The sequence below is a fragment of the Homo sapiens genome, chromosome 8 (assembly GCF_000001405.40).
Source record: "Homo sapiens chromosome 8, GRCh38.p14 Primary Assembly".
Lineage (NCBI taxonomy): Eukaryota > Metazoa > Chordata > Mammalia > Primates > Hominidae > Homo > Homo sapiens.
Window position 1 is genome coordinate 2,518,412 of NC_000008.11, and position 21,051 is coordinate 2,539,462.

At 39.5% G+C, this 21,051-nt stretch overlaps 1 long non-coding RNA gene across 1 annotated transcript in view, besides 2 other annotated features; it reads right to left on the minus strand.

Moving 5' to 3' along the window:
* Nucleotides 7,457-8,185: an enhancer, noted in NCBI's record as "NANOG-H3K27ac hESC enhancer chr8:2382994-2383722 (GRCh37/hg19 assembly coordinates)". NCBI's record gives its function as "activates a minimal SCP1, AML or CMV promoter by ChIP-STARR-seq in primed H9 embryonic stem cells {active_cell/tissue: H9 hESC(primed)}" and the evidence as "EXISTENCE:reporter gene assay evidence [ECO:0000049][PMID:30033119]".
* Nucleotides 8,186-8,912: an enhancer, noted in NCBI's record as "NANOG-H3K27ac hESC enhancer chr8:2383723-2384449 (GRCh37/hg19 assembly coordinates)". NCBI's record gives its function as "activates a minimal SCP1, AML or CMV promoter by ChIP-STARR-seq in primed H9 embryonic stem cells {active_cell/tissue: H9 hESC(primed)}" and the evidence as "EXISTENCE:reporter gene assay evidence [ECO:0000049][PMID:30033119]".
* LINC03021 (long intergenic non-protein coding RNA 3021) overlaps nucleotides 11,681-21,051 on the minus strand; it is a 198,360-nt gene continuing 188,989 nt past the window's right edge. The window contains exon 6 of the long non-coding RNA NR_125425.1: nucleotides 11,681-11,755. This is a non-coding gene — a long non-coding RNA (long intergenic non-protein coding RNA 3021). The remainder of the gene's footprint in view (nucleotides 11,756-21,051) is intronic.

Below are 21,051 nucleotides of genomic sequence, written 5' to 3' on the forward strand. Positions count from 1 at the left end.
AAAATATAAAATAAGAGTGGGATCAGGAAAAGAGTTAAAGCATTTCTAACTTTGAATCATTTTAAAATATGTTTACTTGGAGATCAATGAGCTCCAGAGAAATTCTCTCTCAAGATGTTCAAAGCTTTGAAGATATTATTGGCTATGAGGCACGGTGAAAGTATGCAGTACCTGTTCAATTACGAACCTGGCTCCCTAACAGGTCCTTATTGAAGAATGTTGATTTCATTTTCTAACCCGCACATTCGTCTCATACCATCAAAAGGTAGCACCTTCTGCAGCTGCTTTCAGAAAAAATGCCAACAAACGCCAAGCAAATCACTGTTTTGATGAGATTTTATGCAGAAATTCTTAGGGCCCCAAGAAGACCTAGAGTAATTGTGGGTGGCATTTAGCTTTGAAAGTATTTCTTAAAGTGTATGATAATTTTTGCAAAGTAAGTGAAACATTTAGTCTTCCGTCATTATGATAAATTATATAATATGGGCATAAAATGGAACACATTTAATCTCACAAACATGCAATGGTATTGAAAATTGAAATAGAGCTATTAACATTTAGGATTAGTGATTGTAAACAGTGGTGTGTTTTGACAGTAGTTTTGTTTACCTTTCTCTTTTTAAAAATGTTGCCTGTTTTTGTTCTTTTTTTCTTTTGGCTCTTCAGAATATTTATTCATTTTTCACATAGCATATGAAAGGGAAAGTGACTACTGAATTTAAAAATGAAATTTTTTTAGGAATGCTGAAGTCTTTCAAAAGTTACTGAACATCTATTATATGCTAACTTCTGAAAAACTGAAGTTAAATCAGGTATGATCTTTACCACTATATTTCTTTTTCTAGCACACAGACATATATACATATGTATATGTCTCTCTGTGTGTATGTATATAATCACTTATTTCTTTGAACACTTATGTTCGTATATATGCAATGTGCTGAGCTGGACATTTAAGCAGCTTTACAAATAATGATATATTCAATAGTTCTACACACAAAGAGGTATAAATTATATGAACAGACAAAAAAGTTAACTGGCAACCCCTAGAGTAAGCATTCCAACCAAAGATTTATTATGTTAATACAGAAAACTTCTCAAAATACTGCTATACCTTATTATGTCTTATATAGCAACTATTTTTTCCCCAAAAGCTATTTAGGCACCAGTAACAATATCTTCCTTCTCTTCCTCTCTTTTACTGTGTTTCTCTCCTCTATCTCTCCCCCCAGAGCCACTTCACTGTAATGTCTCCTGAGATCCAGGGCAAATGAAGGACGGGAAAGCCCCCAAACCTTGTGGTCTGTGTCGACGCTGCCTCAGGTGTGCAGAAGATACAAGCAAATGCTGTGGCAGGTGCAAGCTCCCCGCCAGGTCTGCTCTGGCATAAACAGCAGCAAGGTTCTCAAGAAAGGAATTCTACAAGGATAGAGAAAAATACTGTCTAACACACTTAAGACTTTAGTTCAAAATGCTCTCACATATTAGAGTTCCTGTTGGAGATCCCTAGTCTTCTTGGCTTAGAATAGTTTGGTGGTGGGATTGATGCCAGGCCAGTCACTGAGCCGGGTTGTGGAGGGAGCTTTGTTCCTGTGGGATTGGCCCCCGTGTGAATCTGTTCTGTGCTGGAGGCCCCTGCTTGATCGGATCACGAGATTCCATTTTTCTCTTTCAAGCTACCCTTAGCTTTTAAGCCACTGCCTTTCCCCATCAACATCTTGGGCTAAAATGGAATTTATTATTGAAATGTTGGTAAGTAAACATGCATCTGTTGTTCTTAAATCAGTGATTTTCTTCATAATGGTTTCCATGTACACAATAATCTTTCCCTATAAACTACATTTATCCAAAAGGCACACACAGGTTTTTCTGTAAACAGAAATTGGGGCTGAGGTTTTGGGCAAAAAAAAAAAAAAAAAAAAAGAGATGGCCCTTCATCTTTCTTTCATTTCATGCTTCCAAAAGGACAATCATATCTCTTTATGTCTGCCTCACAGCGTCCTTTATTATTAACATCTGTCAGAAGTCACTGCTGTCTGTGTTCCATTCCTTGTGCTTTCATCTCTTCCACGTCTGCTGGATTCAGTTTATAGGTGCCTTCAGGCGCCCTACCCTAACAGTGCAGAAACAACAAAATCACCTTCATCTTTCTTAGTCATGCAACATTCTTTCTAGTTAGTATTTTATTCCTCACTTTTAAAATCCAGATTTAAATAAGTCAATTGCCATTGTCTTTATTTCCTCATCATCCCCTAATGTATCAACACACTGACATCAAGACCTCTTAATACAAAATCCAGTGGAATGCATTCTATGTTCTTTGCACACAATCTTGTTGGACCATACAACTTTGTAAAACATCTTTTCTTGAACATTTCTTCTTCCTTGCTTTCAAAGATACAATTCTACTACTTTTGCTACAATTTCTCTGGGTATTATTTTCCTGCCTTTTTAAGTTTCATCGATTTGTAGCAATGGCACAAACATAAAGTATATACCTTTATGAGTTTCTACATATGTATTCACCATAAATCCAGAAAATTAACATATTCATCACCCCAAAATCGTTTTCTCATACCCGTCTTCCTTCCTCTTCAACCACAATCTTATTTTCATCAGTAAAGGTGTCTTTGCATTTTCTAAATCTGATATAAATGCAATTATACAGTAAGGCACTCTTTTGTGTCTAGCTTCTACACTGACTCTATTTACTTTGGGATTTATTTATGTTGTTGCAGATATCAGTAATTTGCTCCTTTTTATTTTTGAATAGTATTCTATTGTATGGCTATGTTATGAAATTTTAATCCACTTATTTGTTGATAGATCTTTGAGTCGTTTCCTGGACAATAACTTTTAAGGCTGTCCTTAATCATTGATCTCATCTTTGAAAATTTCCCTTATTATTCCTCCTCGTTGACATGACTCTGCTTGGTTAAGTGATCCTACACTGTAACCCACACTTTTTAATTTGCACAACTGCAGCTTTTCTAGACCGGGAAATTCTTTGGTTTAGAAACAAATTGTGTAGGACCAGGCTAATCTGACATTGTCTGCTCCAAAAAGTGGATGTCCAATAAACGTTTTCTGAATGAATGGATTCCCAGATTGTTGGACTGCCAGACAAATGACTATACTCACATGTAAACTACAAAATGAGTGATGGGCTGGCTGGTGACTGGAGCCATATAGGGTTTCCCTGATGGATTTTTGTACCGTCTAATTTAATGTTTCTGAAATGCTGTGGAACCTCTTACACTATTCCTGATTCGCCAACCTGTTCAGGTTTAATATTTTTCAGTCACATTGTGGGTGGTCATCCCTGGAAATCCTGCTCTCCAATTCAGAGGGAAAGAAACAAATTAAACCTTTCAAAGTTCTTCTCTTCATAGTCACAGTCTCAAGCCTCCTCCTTCTTTGAGATTTTGTGTTTTCTTCAAAATCTCTACAGTAAGATTTCCCAGTCTCCACCATCCTTCCCAACTGGAATGTTTCCCACCCTAGTGTTTTTCTCTCTTCCCCCTTCTAGTGCTGCTGGAGCATAGCAATGCCCAGATTTGTGTTTACATGTGAATTCAACCTGATCAGTGCCACGGGAGTCTGAAGAGGGAGGGTTTCATCAGAACCATCCAAGGAAATCCTCCGTGAACCAATGGTGCATTATTTATTTTTCAGCTCTGAAAATGAATACAATGTCTACAATTCATCAAGTCTTCTTCATAATGTTGAAATATTTCTTAATGTCTGTCAGGAATAAACACTCAAAAACGTAAAACATTGCCTGGAAAATGGTAGTATTAATCCATATGTGAGACTAAATTTATTAACGCAAAATGCAGGGGAAGGTTTGTGACTCTCTGAAGGTCTCACTCCTTCCTCATCTTACTCCGACAGTCTCAAGAACTGCAGAGAAAGAGCCCATACCAGTTTCTTTGCTCATGGCAAGGAAAGAAACAATTCTGCTCATGGTGGCAGAAAAGTCCAGGAAACTCTGGGAGCTTTGCACGAGTGAAGAACAGAAATACTATGCAAGAAAGTTAAGGGACGACATTATCTGTGAAACTGAATCAAATTTGTCAATTTGTTCTAAGATTTTCTTCCTTCAATTCATTGGGTGTGGGCGAGAAATGGGCCATCATATCAAAAGCCACGGACCTCTGAATCCAACCTCTAAATTATGATTTAGGATACCAGTTCAACTTCATTGTTGATTCAATAAATGTTTATTGGGTTCCAGTATTTACAGGGCATTGTCCTAGATGTTGGGGCCACAGTGTGAATGAGATGAGTTCCCTGTCATGGCACCTACGTGAGAGGCAGAATAAATAAACATCACACACCGTTACAGACATGGAACATGCTTTCAGCTTGGTGGAAGATTCCATAACGTAAAATAAAGCTGGGTAAGGAAATAGAGAGTGGGAAGCTTTGGGGTGTGTTGTAGACAATCTGGGTGGCTTCCTCTATCTCTGTGCCTGTTCAGGTTCTTGCTGGTGGGCTGTGGGCCCTGACATTTCAGAGGTCATCTAGTCTCACAATAAAGGCACTTTGTTAGATTGGGGCTGGAGACTGAAAATATTTAACTGGTTTGTGTTTCTTTCACCTAGAAGAATTCCCAAATCAAGCTTGGCCAACAGCAATTGAATCAGTGGTTTCATATCAGCATCTCTTCAAAAAGATGTTAGGTTTATTTCATGTTTGTAGGTAAATTACACAATGTCTCAATTATAAATTCAGTTGCTTACGTTATGAAGCAGTCATTGAAAGTCATGCTACTTAAGGAACATTAATGGAGTCTAATCCAAACACGATGCCACTAGGAGCTGACTCTCATTATGTTCAGGACCATGGTGTGTGAGGCAGAAACCAGATCAGCCATGTTCAGTAGCCAAGGGCACTACGCACATACACCACCTTGAGAATACTTCTTCGACCTTGCTTTGTTTTATTTTTTTTGCAGTGGTGAATAAAGTAAGCTTCTTTCATGTTTAGATACAGATCATCTAGTTGTTAGAAAAATGATGAAAATATTCCCTCTTCTTCATGAATTAACAGTGTTAAAAACTTGTGTCAAGTACTTTCTTGTTTTCTATGGGCCTTCCCTTACAGTCCTCACACAGCACAGTAGGAAACAGTATCGTGGGTTCCATATCCGTGAGAGAGTGACACTTACAGAAATGGAGCCCTCGTCCAGTTTATTTAGCTAAGAAGAGGTAGAGACGACTTTTCCCCAGAAGTAAAAGTAGCACATGCTTGGCAAATATTAATAAATTGATGCTAATAACATCAAAACTGTGTTTTCCAAGGATCACAACCCTTACCACTTTTGCATGCGTATACTGTTATATTCACCACATTCTATCATAATCGTATATTTCATTCCTGAATTCTTTTATAATTCTGTGCATCCTTAGTGTCTAGTCTAATGTTTGGCACAGATAAATGTTTGCTGAGTGGTTGTGTGAACGACAGAGACTAAAGACCTCACAGTAAAGTGAACCAGACGTAAAAATAAATAGGTGCAATGCAAAGTGATCTGCGATGTTACAGTGGAATCCTCAGAGTGTGTGTGAGCACTGCTGACTTATCTATTCTATGGACAAGAGCCACAGTGCTTCCTGTAAAACAGAATATTGAGGGACTTTAATTCCCATGTGTCCAACCCAGTTCCTCTGCTCCCCGTTCCCGGGTGGAGCTAGGCTACTTGATCGTTCCATTCTCCTCCAAGTCAGAAGTGCATTGTGGTTTTCCAAAAGTTGTTTAGGTGAGAAGAGAAACAAGAACATACTTGAGATGAGATGACCTGGCTTCCATTTTTTTTTGTAGAGTCATTATCTCAGGCAGACAACTTAACATTTCCAACCACTGACCGCATGTACTGAATAAGCTCGAATCATGAATGATAGATTGTCTGGTTAAGTTCATCTCGGTTGTCTTCTATGTGTAATTGATATAGTATCAATTAGTCAGAGCGTTGTGTGAGATAAAGCCTGTGAATGCATTTTGTAAACCATGAAGTGATACATACATACGTTAATATTGTTAGAAAGTTGTGGGGAAGAACATGAAGAGAGACCTCCAGCCTAGAGTTAAATTATGAAATTCTAAGATGTAGTCTCTTCATTACATGGTTCCAAACTTCTGGAGAGGTGGGGCCAGGCGCTGTCTTATTCTGGGAAGTAGTCTCAATCCAGGCCGCACGTTAGAATGCTGTAGAAAGCCTGCAAAAGTCCTGATACCTGGGGCCTAACAGAGACCATTTAATTGAAAATCTTAGGACACAGGGGCACGTGTCCACAGGATGATTCTGCCTGGCCAAGGTTGCACCCAGCAGGGCTCATACTATGACTTACCCTGTTCCTACTTCTCTTTGTTATCCTTGGCCCATTGAACAGATTGGATTTAAGTAGCAAACTTGTAAAATGCAACACCATGCGCTCACTAAATATCAAGTATTCTTCAAACATGGACTCACCCAAACTCTTCCCAGCCAGATTTATAACCAACCACACTTGACCGCAGACAGGCCTTACACATTCTTCATATGATCTGAAGCACAGAGTGAGTCTCTTGGGGACAGGTGGAAATGCATTTTTTTTTTAAGTTTAATACGTTTTGGCTGAGGTTAAGTTTGTTAAGACCATTAAATATTTAAACCAGTTTTCTCAGAAGGACTTTTGAATTAAAAGGAAAATTTGAAAGGTATTTTAATAATTCCAATGTTAGCCTCTGGGTAGAATTTTCTTACATTTAATTATGAATTCCCAGGCTACCTTTTCTACTGATATATTCATAACCACATATTCATATCCATAAAAATAAGCAATTATACTTTCTGCCAATGGCTTCCTGTGTGACTACATGTGGCCTTCCTACTTGATTAAGGATTTCAGCAAATTTAATATAAATATCTCCTTTAAGAACCTCTGAGAAATGAATGTATTAAAGTATGTTAAATTTGCCATGCAACTGAAACTTAGTAGAAATCTTTGTAGTCAACTAAATTCTACTTTCAGCTAGAAAACTTTGTGCAAATCATTATTTAATCCAGAGATTAACACTACATCCTGAGAAAACATATAAAATAACGTCTCCTTACCTACTTTTCTGTAAAGTTACACCAAAGCATCATTTAGGAGATCTATACTACAAACATTCTGTGAAATCCTGTGCATATTTTCATTTTCCTTATTAACAGAAATAGTTATAAAAGTATTTTTTGTCATATTGCCTACATTGCTTTAAACGCCTTTACCTGTCTCCCTTTAAACATATCCACCCTTTAAATATGACTCAAAATTCACTTACAAAATGCCTTTCCCAATGCCTGACCATTTCATGTTCCCAAGCCTCTCTCTATGGGCATATTTATGTAACAGGACTTACCATATTATGTTATAATTGGTTATCTATCTGCTCACACTCTTGTTCTATTTTGTGGCATGGTGACAATCTCTGTATTTTTGTCATTTTTATAGCCCCACTGTTCAAATCAGCACAAAATAGATGCTCAAAACCTTCTTAACCTACTTAGAGAAATAACGGTACTTCGACGTTTTTCCCTGTTTATTAAGGGGTCTCAGCATTAATTTTCCATGGTCTTGCTGGGTTTCTACTCAGCTTAGATCTTCTTTTGTATTTTAAATTAGCCAGTCACTTGGCTGAAAAAGCAACCCTGTTGCCCTGAAGGAAACAGCTGTGTCAGGCCACCCACAGGGATCTCAGAAGGATGAAGGGAACGATTGTGTTATTGTATCACGGGCAGCTCTGCCGGGACTCCTAATGCTCATTGAGACGTTTTACCATGAGGATTCGGAAAACATAAATTGCATCTCATAGAAACCATCTCCTTTGTGGTACGTGCTTCCCAGAGATGCACAGGTCATTTAATAAAGAATTACCTGCTGGTACTTACATTATGTTGTTGGCAGAAAAGTGCCTTATAAAGAGGGGCCATTTTTACAGTGTGATATCCACGGGGTCCCTCGGGAGGCCGTCTGAAAATGAGGCTATTTCACTATTGGGCATGCTGGCTTCTTGGCAGGCCAGCTGAGTCCGCGATGTGAACTGCTAATTGCTGATTTCCAAGACTTGGACTGTCTTTCTGTTATGCAATGGGCTGAGAACGCCCCTTCCTTCCCACAGGCTGTGTATGACTAATCCACAGTTCCTTATTAGAAAGACGGACCTTGCTCCTAAGGGTGACCTAGATGTGAAAAACTCACATTCTCCTGCTAATTCTTTAAATTAGCAAGTTCTCCAAGAGCAAGCTCGGGCTAAATCCGCTTAAGCTAGTCTTCCTCTTCCTCAGCTTACTACAGTATTAGAAATTTTGCCAGCGGCACAGACTAAGGGTAGCATGAAAAGCAATGAAAACATCTAATTTTATAGCTGTCAGGATAAATACCAAAATAAGATATTAAATGTAAAAATGTGAATAATAGGCTAAATAGTGCCTCCCTGAATATAGTGGGAATTTTAGCATTTTTATCACATGACCTCGGGGATGCATGCCAGGGTCACCCAGGGAGCTGCGTCTTCATATTTCACCTCGAGGGTGTCTCCCGCCTTGGGTGCATACTCTGTTCTTAAGGGTCTGTCTCGCTCTTCAGGCGCAGAATTCACTGCTAATTCACACTCTCTCTGTCTTCCTTGAAGGGTCACGTTTGCAGAAGAGCTCCACTGTAGGGCAGGGGAAGGAAATCCTTCCTCTTTCTTTTCTCGGACAGCCTTATCTCAGCTGTCATTCTCCAGGGATCTCTGCTGGGGACTAAATTCCTTAAGGCCATGCCTGCACTTGCAAATACTTCTTAAGCATCGTGAAATGTGTTAGAAACAAAATCCTCACCTGCTGTTCATAGAAGAAATCCCTGCTAAGTTATAAATGAGTTTCTGCAGCCCAGGAGCGCCTGTCTACTTGGGGAGCTTAACCAGAGGTGTGTGCAGCCTGCCCAGTTGTTCAGTGTGTAGCGCGGATGGATGGTTCTTTTGTTATGAAAACCAAAGAACTGCCTCCAGCAACCCTTCTGGCCCCAGGTGCACATGTCCCACTCAGAAGGGTATCATGACATGTGAGCGGGAAAGACAGGCAGTTCAGGGAATGTGTGTGTGGACAGGGAGTTAAGGGGCCTGTCATTACAAGAATCTTATTTGCTTCCACACTGCCCCATATCTTTGAGGACCGTATCCTCCCCAATGCTCGGTATCCATGATTTTCAGGTGGCCGACAGGGCCACACCATCTGCAGCAACACCAGGCATCCTAATGTCTAACGTGAATGAGCTGAAGTTTCTCAGATACTTTGCAAGCTCTGAATCCTTGAGCCCCCTAGCCTGTGGGGCTGCAATGTAACTGTGCCTGTTTCTCATAGGAAACTGGGGCACAGGAGCCTAAATGACCTGCCTAGTATTACTTGTAGCAGGAAGACGATTCTTACGATGGGAGATTCTAACATGCGGGTTCTACGGCACAGAATAAGATGGAAACCCCTGCGTAGCAGGTGCTCTGTGTTCTTGTTCCTGTTCATGCTTGTACAATTGAACAGGATAAATGCTTAACTATACTTTCAAATGTTGTGAACGATCAGCTTCTGTGCTATGACAGATTGTGCTCACTCTCGAGATTTCACTCCTGTCTCCAACACGCTTGTCATGGTCAGACCCACCCCAAGCGTGCAATTGCACACACACCCGTAAGCACTCTTCAGGGCTGACCCGGTGCCAGCCGTGTGACAGGCACGATGTAACCATCGTATCCACCAGCCCAGGAGTTATTTACTTGGAATCTCCTACGCCCAAACGCTGACAGGGAAGCGCAGGTTTAAAGCACAAATGTAATTATTCAATTATTCCCGTGATGTGTGGAGGCAGGATTTGAACCCGGATCTGTCTTCATCTCAGCACAGCTCTTTATTATGGAGTCCCAGGGTTACTGCATCCCCCAACCAGGGCTCTCCATGGCCTTTCAAAGAAGACAAACCCATACTGTGTACCTGTCAAGGTCCCTCTCAGGGTGCGGCTGTCTGCAGGGCACCCTCCGCACAGCCCAGGCAGGGGCATGGGCGGCGAACACACACCTTTCAAATCAGGCATCCCACCTGCCGCCAGTGGTACCACCGCAAACCACCAAACTCTATTTTTACCACTTAAATAGTTAAGCACAGGCACCTATAGTTTCTTTGCCAAAAACAAAACAAAACAAAACAAAAAACAAAAACAATGTGTTTTGAAAGAGATACAAATTTTAAAATATGACTAACCTTTTCTTTTTCTTGGTCGAACGGCTCTGTCCTTATGTTAATTTCATTCACAGGAACTTTATGTTCTTGGTCCCGAGTAACTAAAATACTTGGTCCTGATTTTTGAAATGCTAGCTTTGGTTTCAATGTATTATAACACAAATAGAGGCAAGGAATTACAAAATCAATGAATCCCAGGAGGCTTGCTCTGAAAGGCGGAAGTTCTTCTGCTCCACTTCATGGATGGTTGTGGAGGGCGCTGTGCTTAACAGCAAATCTGGATTGGAACCAGTGCTTTCTGAGTCCGTCTGCTCACACATGAGAAACAGGCAAAATGGTGCTCCCTCTTCAAAGCCTTATAATCAAGAGGTTATATACATACAATTACTATAAAATATTTCATTATATAAATATTTCGTATAAATGTATAATATATAGTAGACTACATAACAAATGAAAATAAATATATACAGTCTTCTGGTTATTGAAGGCCTGCTGTACATACAATTTAATATGTATAATAAAACATAAGTAATAAAGTATGCATTTAATATATATATATATATCTCACATTGTCTTATGCATCATGGGTGCCCAGGAGATGTAATTGTTTGTATTAAACCAATGTGTTAAGAAAGACATTTAGAAAAAAAGACAACAGAAATGTTCAGACAGGCAAACTGAGAGGTGGAAATAGGCAGGTCTGATTTAAAATATGACGGTGATGTGATCACATGGCTTCAAAGTGTTAGGGTCCCACAAACTCGCCTATGACCATAAGGGTGACGTTTCCATCTCCCGCTTACCCAGTGTCCTGCTGTGCCCTGGAAGCCCTGTGTGGGCCTTGAAAACACCTGTTTTCCATTTAGACAAAGGCCAGGAGAAGCCTTGGATAAGAAGCCTTGGATAATGGTCAAGAGAAGTACCCAGGTTATCTTAGAGGACCTGGAATGACCCGTTTCTTAGAATTTACCAAACTGTTCTTTGCCAAATCAACATGCTCCTCACAGACACACCAAGGAACAGTACTTCATCCTTCAGTCCAATCAAGTTGACACTCAATGTTGACCATCACAGTAGCAGGGCTGATAACAGCCAGCCCGGAGTACAGCAGAAAGCCAAGAGAAACGTATCTGCAAAGCGAAAAAAAAACGAAGCAGATTAATTTTCAGATGTGTGTGTACAATCAAGTCAGGAGGGGTTTATATTGTTGTTTCTTTTTTTTCTGAGATTTTTGTCAAAATGAGTGACAATCATATAGGACACTCATTAAACATGAACGTGAGACAATGAGCTTGAGGAAAGAAGAAAAAACAGTGTACAATGAAATCAGTGTCATTATACACTCGGAGCAATTCACCTCTGTGCAGACGCCACACTGCCGTCGTGATGGTGTAGACGGGGCTCTGACTCAATGAAGCTGTGGGCTGCTCAGCCTCCAGGTGCAGCAGCCGGTTTGTATGGACGCACGTGGAATGGAGCCAAAAGGGGCAGCAGAAAACCAGTGACATGTCTGAACTTGAAAAGTAAAGATAGACCCGGGTAAACAGTCTACTTAGAAAGGTGACAGTAAATACGGAAAAAGCAGCTAACATTTTCAAAGCCACTTGCTGCCGTGAAATGGAAAACAGCAGTGGCAGGCAGAGGAGGTTCCTAAAAGTCCAGGATACTATTAATATTGGACTTTTAAAAATATGTACCTGAATTACAGCAATTAAAACATCTTAAGTGTCTACTCACATGCTTTTCCTTGGGAAAGATGAAGACTCTGATAGTTGGTTCTTCAGGAGCGGGTGTTGCTTTTACTCCCACTCCCTGTTTAGTCTGCCAAGGAACAAAGCAAATAAGCAACACGGAGTTGCATGGCTTGAGGTGTGGTTCCCACCTCTGACCTCTGAGGAACCCTGAGGGTCTCACGAGGGCCCTGGGCAGCTGCCGTAGGCATTGCTTACAGGGTTTCGTTTCTCTCATTTGCATTTATTGCTATTTGAAGTAGCACTATCTCCCCCTCTCAGTTCTAAGCTCCTCAGAGGCAGAGAAAAATACATCAATTTTCTGGAATTGTTCCAAGTATTAGAAAGGATAATTTAAATATCTGGCTCTAGTTGTTTTCACCATAATCACATATAATGATGTTTTATCACCTTTAGCTGCTCTCTTCCCACTCTCTCGTCCACGCTGGAGCCAAATAAATGCACTCGTCCTATTTGCTGAAGAGTGTGATTAATGCTCTCTCCTCTGATGGAAGCATAGGACCCAAAACAATTTTTTTAAGCAAAATCACCTCAATGTCAGATTATTATGCCTGAGACCATAACTTCAACATGATCGTGAAGTTTAAAGCTAAAGTGCCAGAGGTATGGGAGAGTGTCGTGTGTGTGTGCGTTGGTGTGTGCAAGTGTTCACCTGCCAACACTGACAGAAGCCGCGGTTTGTCTATGACCAAAGTGAGGATGAATTCACAGGTAAGTGTCCTGGAGGGAGGTGCCTCATTACCACAGGTTACCATTATACGCTCTGTTGTATCCAACAGGGTATATCTTCCTCATCCACTAAGCAAACAGGTGTCTGTGAGAACCAACAATGTTAACAAAACATGCTCATTGAAAAAAATATGCATTACCTTAGGACATATGGGTGAAAATAAACGTTCTAATACTACTGTATATTGTGGGGTATACAACCTTCTCTATTTTAAAGGTCAAAAATAATGCTTTTGAGCATTTCTCATGAAAGGTTAGAAATTCTAATCCCGTCCTTACTATGTTATATCACAACCCTATCATATAAACAGGTGTGTCATCTGGCTTGATTTTAAAATATTCTTTTTAATAAATACAGGTTAACAATATAGAGGCACCAGAAGCAACACACATCTCACTTTCAGAGTGTGTGTGTGTGTGTGTGTGTGTGTGTGTGTGTGTGTTTGGCATCTGGGAAGAAAGAAACTTAATGCATTGGGGTAAGTCACGTCATTGGTTTAACCCTTTCCTACTTAGTATGCCTGTGGATACTGGAATCTTGAGTGCAGTGTTCCCTTCTAATGGATGGGAAGGAACTGCCAGGAACCTTGCATGTTTATAAGAATTTCCCTGGAAATATCTTAAAAATATATATTTCTGGACCCCACTAAAGATCTTAAAAATTATGCTTATACGGTATGAGACCTGTGAACTGTGTATATTTTTATCCCCCTCAGCTCTCCTCAGAGGAACCAAGTATAGCTGGCCTGACCTCATATTGTTTTGGAATAAGGATTTAAAAATCACTGTAAAATTAAAGATGTTTCTTAGAAAAATTGCCATTCAACCCATCATATAAAATGTAAATGATCTCAATTATGTATTCCAGATCATGACATCAAAAATGATCTCAATTTATGTATTCCAGAAATAGACATTGGAAAAAAAATAGGCTATGTTAAGCCTAGAAATCATAAAGAATTCTTAAATTTATGTATGTAGTGTGAAAAAAATAGTGAAATGCTACTTAAAATAAACTTACACCTAAATCTTAATATAAAATTCAAACATCATGCAATGAGTTGAGGAATAGCAGTACCCAGCTCTAAAGGAATGGATTTGGGGCATTTTTCTGTGCTTGTTTTCCTACTCAATCGTAGGTAGAGTTAACAACAGGGAAGATGTGCTTTCATTTCAAGTTGGAAACTGAACATATTACTTCTTAACATTTTTAATTGTAACTAAGTTTAAATATATAATTTCAACTCATTTATCTGTGATGACCTGTCCTATTTTTTGCATGAGACACTGAGAATGAGAAGCAAAAACTTATAATTTTTTTTTTTTTTGAGACGGAGTCTCGCTCTGTTGCCCAGGCTGGAGTACAGTGGCACAATCTCGGCTCACCGCAAGCTCCGCCTCCCGGGTTCATGCCATTCTCCTGCCTCAGCCTCCCGAGTAGCTGGGACTACAGATGCCCGCCACCAAGCCCGGCTAACTTTTTTTGTATTTTTAGTACAGACAGGGTTTCACAGTGTTAGCCAGGATGGTCTCGATCCCCTGACCTCATGATCTGCCCGCCTTGGCCTCCCAAAGTGCTGGGATTACAGGCGTCAGCCACCGCGCCTGGCTAATTTTTAAGTCAGTTACTGAACAGAAGCAGTTATCATAGCTCAATTTTATATATTATGTATTTAGGAGTAGTAAATGGGTAAAGTTAATCTCAAATTTTTTTTTTCTTCCTTTTCAGGTGACTCCTAGCTAGTTTCCGTCTTGCATCCCTTAGATTTAGTAGAAATTTAAAATCATTGAAGTGACTTTGAGATTATTTCTGCATTTTATTATTCAGTACAAACAATGAAAATTACAGCATGAAACATACAATTATTTAGCACTTAAAAAGTGCATTCATGTTTCTTCTTCTCGGAGCTTCAGTCTGCCTCCGTCAGGATTCCTGACAGTTCTGGGTTCCTGTGGGTTAGGGCACTAACATCCACAAGAGTCCATGATGACCTAACATCATGCAATGGTTTATAATGGAGTTCAGATTCGTGCCCAGGAGAGTCTAATGCAAGAAGTCACAGCAATTAGTGAGCACATTAAATTCACAGTGTGAGTCACAAGCTGCTTTGCGCACCATGTGTGTATTGATTCATATAATCCTCATAACAAATTTAATGAGATAGACATTACTATAATTATTTTAAGATAAGCACAGGAATATAAGGTAATTTAACCAAGGCAAGTAAGATTTGTATGCCACAGACCCCTATGGGAGTTGGTGAAGCCTGTCAATTGCTTTTCAGGGAAAAAAATATGTTTGTGAATATTGTAAACAACATCAAATTAATAGGACTACTAACGAATGTCTATTGAAACATAGCACTGGCTAAAAGACACTGCTCCTCTATGGCTGTTTCTTAGCATTCAAACACTACTACCCTCTGAACTCACTGCTCAGAACTAGTGTGGTCATGACTGAGTGGAGCTGAAGGCCACGCACTCACATTTCTTCAGGTGATTGATTGCAAAGCCATTGGTGACAATTCCCATTTTCTCATATGTTATTGAGAAGACATAATTGTGGTATCATTTCACTTATTTTCTCTTCTCTGACTGAATTTCACCCATGTAAAAAGTCCCAGTAACTACTGTTGGCTCTATCTGCTGGCAACGTTTGTAGAACTTCCTCCACACCATAAACATCAAAAACAGAATGTTTGAAAATAACATTAAGAAATATTAGATATGATTGATATTTGTTAAGCATTTAGAACAAGGGTGTCTTGTCTTTTCACTATCCTGGGCCACAGTGGAAGAAGATGAATTGTCTTGGGCCACACAACATAAAACACACTAACACTAACAATAGTTGATGAACTAAAAAACAAACAAACAGAAATCACAAAAAATCTCATAATGTTTCAAGAAAGTGTATGAATTTGTGGTGGGCTGCATTCAAAGCTGTCCTGGGTCACATGTAGGACAAGCTCGATTTAGAATATAATTCTCAAAAGACTAGAAAGTGTGAAACAAGGCCCAGGAAAGTATCTGTAACTTACGAGCCTTTTATAGACATTCTCGGGTTTTATAAAGAGATGTAGAGTTGACTGACATAACAGGGTTCCTTGAGAACAGGGACTCTGTTTTCATCTCCTTCTCCTGTATCTAATACAGTTAATGGACATGTCTATATTCAGAAGGTATTCGATGAATTAATGAATGAAATTAAAAATGGAAGGTGGGAAATACAGCTATTAAAATAGTTGACCCATTTGGGTGATTTAAGGTCCCATCTCTCTGTCATGTCTCCCAGTGTGCCTCTCTTAAACCAATCAGTCTGACTGAAGAGAAAAAAAGTATTTCCATATTGATAGAAACTTTGCATTATCTTTATGGTATGTGAGTAGCTTCACTGCTCGGGTAGAGCTTCCAGATACATCCTCATGGTTAAGGTCAGACACATCAGGTAATGCAGAGGTCCAGAAAAAAATAATGGCCTCTATCCCTAACCAGAAATACAAATCACAGGCCATTTAAAGATCGAACTCTTCAGATGAATTGTAAAACAGATTGATAAAATGCTAGAGTTGGGGGAAAAAAGTTTTGGAGATCTTGTCAACCTCCAACTGAGAATGACATTAATGGAAATCCTTGAGCAAGAATCATTCTCTCTAGTGAGCAGTAAGTGCAGGTGTCTGAGTGGACTTATTGCGAATGGAGCAGAGCAATTGCTGTGATTGGAAATCTCAACCACAAGATATACATTAGATTGGCGCAAAAGTAATTGCTGTTGTCATCATTAAAAGCAACAGAGAAAACAGAAATTACTTTTGCACCAACCTGATATTATTCAAGCAGGACCAGAAAGGTCAGAGTGGGCTTGCTGTAGAGTATGCAGCATTATTGTCATCTAGGAGGGATGAGAAAAAAATCCCTGCTCTTGTCATGGCCAGTGAGGGATGCAATGTTATGTAAATGTTGTCTGGAATCGAGCTCCTGCTGTGGGAAACTGGGAGACTATTACTTATGATGTATTTTAGTGGAAAGGGACAGGATTCAAGGCAGAGGTCACAGAAAAATTGAGGTAAGTACGTTCTATACTGTTATTTTTTTTTTCATTTTTTTCTTTAATATTTTCCTGCTATCTAATTCAGAAGAAGTATAATTCTAAGAGCAGAAACAAGTAGCAAGACAGTTTAATTAAGGAGAAAGTTGACTTCAGTGACAAGCATAGCACAATTTTGAAGAAATTTGTACAATATCATAAAATTTTCAAAACGTATAGAATGTTTGCATAATTGACAAATATTAGCTGTGGCTTTTTGTCTTGTGTTGGAGTGTAATGTGTGCGATAGGCCTAGATATTATATTATGCACCTCTAAACACATAAAGCCAAGAATAAAAGCAGAAAAAGACAGACTACCGCTGTGATTTAATTTTGTGCACCAACCCTAGTGGTCTTCATGTAAGACCAGGGCCTCAGAATGAAGGTAAGAGTTGAGTGTCTCTGGATTCCCAACAGGAATGTTCTTCTCACCTTCAGGGGGGAAATAATTCTAGCTTGTTCAAGAACTGACAATTGGACATAGGTTAAACAAGCCCAAATAAGAGAGGGTTTTGCTAGTGGTTTCATATTAAAGAAAATCTGATGACAAATAATGTGCTAAACCTTGGCAAAGTGTTCGGTGTAAGATGTTTATGTATAGTCACACATGTGGTCTGGACCTCACACATTCAGGGAGCTTCAGTTGTGTATTTGACTGGGGCTGAAACAGAGCTATAATTTCTTGGATTCATTCAAGAGTAGAATATAAAATAAAAAACACTGGCAAGTTATAACAGATTAATAGATAGATAATAGATAGATGACAGCTAGATAGTTGATGGATAGATAGTTGATGGATACATAAATGTAGCAACTGTAACTAAAGCTAGGAAAATAAACATGTTAGGTCCACAATGAGGTGTGCTTCATGGTACATGTGAGGAATGTTACAGCCTACCACAGTGACCCTTCAGCTGTGTCCTGGAGAGAGAGGAGAGTGTTAGGGCCTTTCTTCACTCAGAGAAACTCCAAATATAGGTGTTATATCATTTGTACTTCCAGAGATAGGATTAAAAAAAATTTGGAACTGGTTTTATTGAATGACTTCCCCTTTCGATCTATATTTTAAGCCCCCCAAAGCTAAAGGCACTTACTTAAAATCTCTGAAGAATAGATCAGAACTCCTGCAGGATTCTCACAGGTTGCATAGACCAGTGTACATGGGGACCTATTTCTACACCTTGATTCTTGTATCTGACAAGACTTGATTTGGGGATTCTCAGCACCCCCGGCCCTATTATAGTCTCTGGTTGTGCTCTGCTCCCAGTATTTGAAAGACAGATTGAAGAGAGTGTCCATTCCCTATAATGTCATCTTGGCATCTCTGTCTGAAATAATTTTACCATAAATAAATAAGTTCATTTCTGGGCTCTCTAGTCTGTTCCATTGGTCAGTGTGTCTGCTTTCATGCCAGTGCCATGCTGCTTTGATTACTATAGCTTTGTAGTATAGTTTGAAATCAGGAAATGTGATGTCCCCAGTTTTTTGTTTTTCTTAAGATTGCTTTGACTATTTAGTGTCTTCTTTGATGCCATATACATTTTAAGATTGCTTTTTCTATTTCTGTGAAAAATGTCACTGAATTTTAATAGACATTGCATAAAACACATAGATTTCTATGGGTAGTATAGACATTTTAATACTATCTATTCTTCCAATCTATGAACATGAGATGTCTTTCCATTTATTTGTGCCCTCCTCAATTTCTTTCATCAATTTTATAGTTTTCAATGTAGAGATTTTTCACCTTCTTAGTTAAATTTATTACCATGTTTTTGCAGTTATTGTAAATTAGATTACCTTCTTAATTTTGGGGAGGAATCTAATTTGTTATTAGTGTATAAAAACTCTCCTGAATTTTGTGTATAGACTTTATATCCTGCAACTTTACTGAATTTACAAATTAGTTCCAACAGTTTTTCAGTAAAGTCTTTAGGGCTGTTGAGACTTTTTATATCTATGTTCATCAGAGATGTTGATCTATACCTTTCTTTTCTTATAGTATCCTTGTTGGGCTTTGGTCTCAAGGCAAATCTGGCTTTGTAAAATGAAAAAAAAAAAACCTAGATTTTATTTTGCCATCTGTAATTCTGTTTCTACCTCTCATCATTTCTTTTTTTTTTTTTTTTTTGAGACAGAGTCTTGCTCTGTCGCCCAAGCTGGCATGCAGTGGCGCAATCTCAGCTCACTGCAAGCTCTGCCTCCCGGGTTCATGCCATTCTCCTGCCTCAGCCTCCCGAGTAGCTGGGACTACAGGCGCCTGCCACCACACCTGGCTAATTTTTTGTATTTTCAGTAGAGACGGGGTTTCACTGTGTCAGCCAGGATGGTCTCGATCTCCTGACCTCGTGATCCACCTGTCTCGGCCTCCCAAAGTGCTGGGATTACAGGCATGAGCCACTGCGCCCGGCCTACTTCTCATCATTTCTTCGTGCAGGTCGAAGTTTCTGTCAGCCTCTCTCTTCTGTCTGAAACGTTTTCTTCAACACTACTTATAGTGTAGGTCTGGTAGGCCATGAATTCTCCCTCTTTTTTTCCCTTTCACTTTTTGAGGATTATTTTCATGGAGTTAAATTCCTTAGGTCACAGTTTGAACTTAAAAGGAGTCTTCCGTGGTCTTCTGGCTTGAAAGGTTTCTGAGAAGTCTATTACAATTCTTATCTTTGTCTTATATGTATTTTTTATTTGTTGGTCATCCTCCACACACCTTCAGGATTTTCTCTTTGCTTTTTGTTCCAGCAATTTGAATAAAATATACCTAGGTGGAGTTTCTTGGATTCTTATTTGATTTATTGATCTATGTTTCCCCATTTTGATGTTTTCAAAGCTCCTTTGATCTACACCTTTGTGGCCATCAATTATCCAGGAATTCGTTGCGCCTCACTGTCTTCCCTTCTCGTGTTGGGATTCCAGTTACCCGTATCCTAGACCAAGACTGTCTCACTGCCCTCAGATGCCCTTCCTTTCTCTTGCTTTTTTCTTCATTTTCTTTTTACTGTTTGTGATCCAGTTTGGGTAATTTTTCTAAAGTTGTCTTTAAGTTTGTTGAGAGACATCCCCCTCAGCCTCTCACGTTTTCGCTCGTCTTAGTGGCCGTTATGCCGGTGACTTTTGCTCTGAAATGTCTTCCCAAGGATATTTCTAGAAGGAACAGTCCTGGGAGACAGAGACAGTGTCACTTCAGAGCCAAGAGTAGGTTTGTTTGCTGCGTTGCATAAAGACAGTGTTTTCCTTCTAGGGAAAGTTCAACAAAGGCCCTGCAACCCACTGTAACATTCCTGGTCCTCCTGCACCAGGGACTTGACTGTGATGCTCAGCCCTGTGTGTGCAGCATCCCACTGGGTTGCCATATGCCTCACGCCAGCGGGACTTGCAGGGGAGCTGCCGTGGACACAGGGGTGTGCTGTGTGCTGCACCACAAGTGAGAAACTGCCTTTGATCCCAGAACTGAATGTTTTCTGAAAATATTCATGATGTGACAGGCAACTTACAAGCTACCAGATAATGTACTATATTAGACCTTTCATAGTTGTTGAAAAAGTTCACTAGCTCTTTCTTCATCTGCGTGTTTATCACACTGTCTAAAACTGTGAAAAATCTGAGATGTTTTCCCACTGGAATAATAGGCAGATAGATTACAGAGAGATGATTGACAAGCACATAGACAATAAGATAGATAGATATTGCAAAAATGCAAGGGTCAGAGAAAAGAGTTCTTTATTGAAACAACCAGGTTAATGGCATTGTATTACTAAGTATTATTAATAGCATTGTATTATTAAGTATTATTAGTAGCAGTGTATTATCAATAGCACTGTATTATTGTATTATTAAGTAGCACTGTATCATTACTTCGCAAGGCCCAGCAAACCCACAGAGACACGCAGTGAGAACCAGACAGAGAAATTTTTACATGAGCAGTGGGTTTCAGTCTACAGACTGAAAGGGACAGATAAAAATAGGTTTTCTCCACTTGTAAACCTCAAAGAGTCTATTCCCCTAACCTCTTTTGAGAGTATTTTCTTCAAGGTGTAATAGGAGGAACATTTATCCAGCCTGTTGGTATACAAGTCTCTCCAGGGTCTAGCTAAGCCCATCTGTCTCTGGCTTTATGACTCGGAAATGGCTTTAGGGGCCAAAGCTTTGTCCATTTTGAGTGTAAAAGACTAGGGAGAAGGAGTGTGCTAGTCTCCCTGCCTCTTTGGGAGCTTAACTTAGGAGTTTATCTTAAGTTGCAACTATT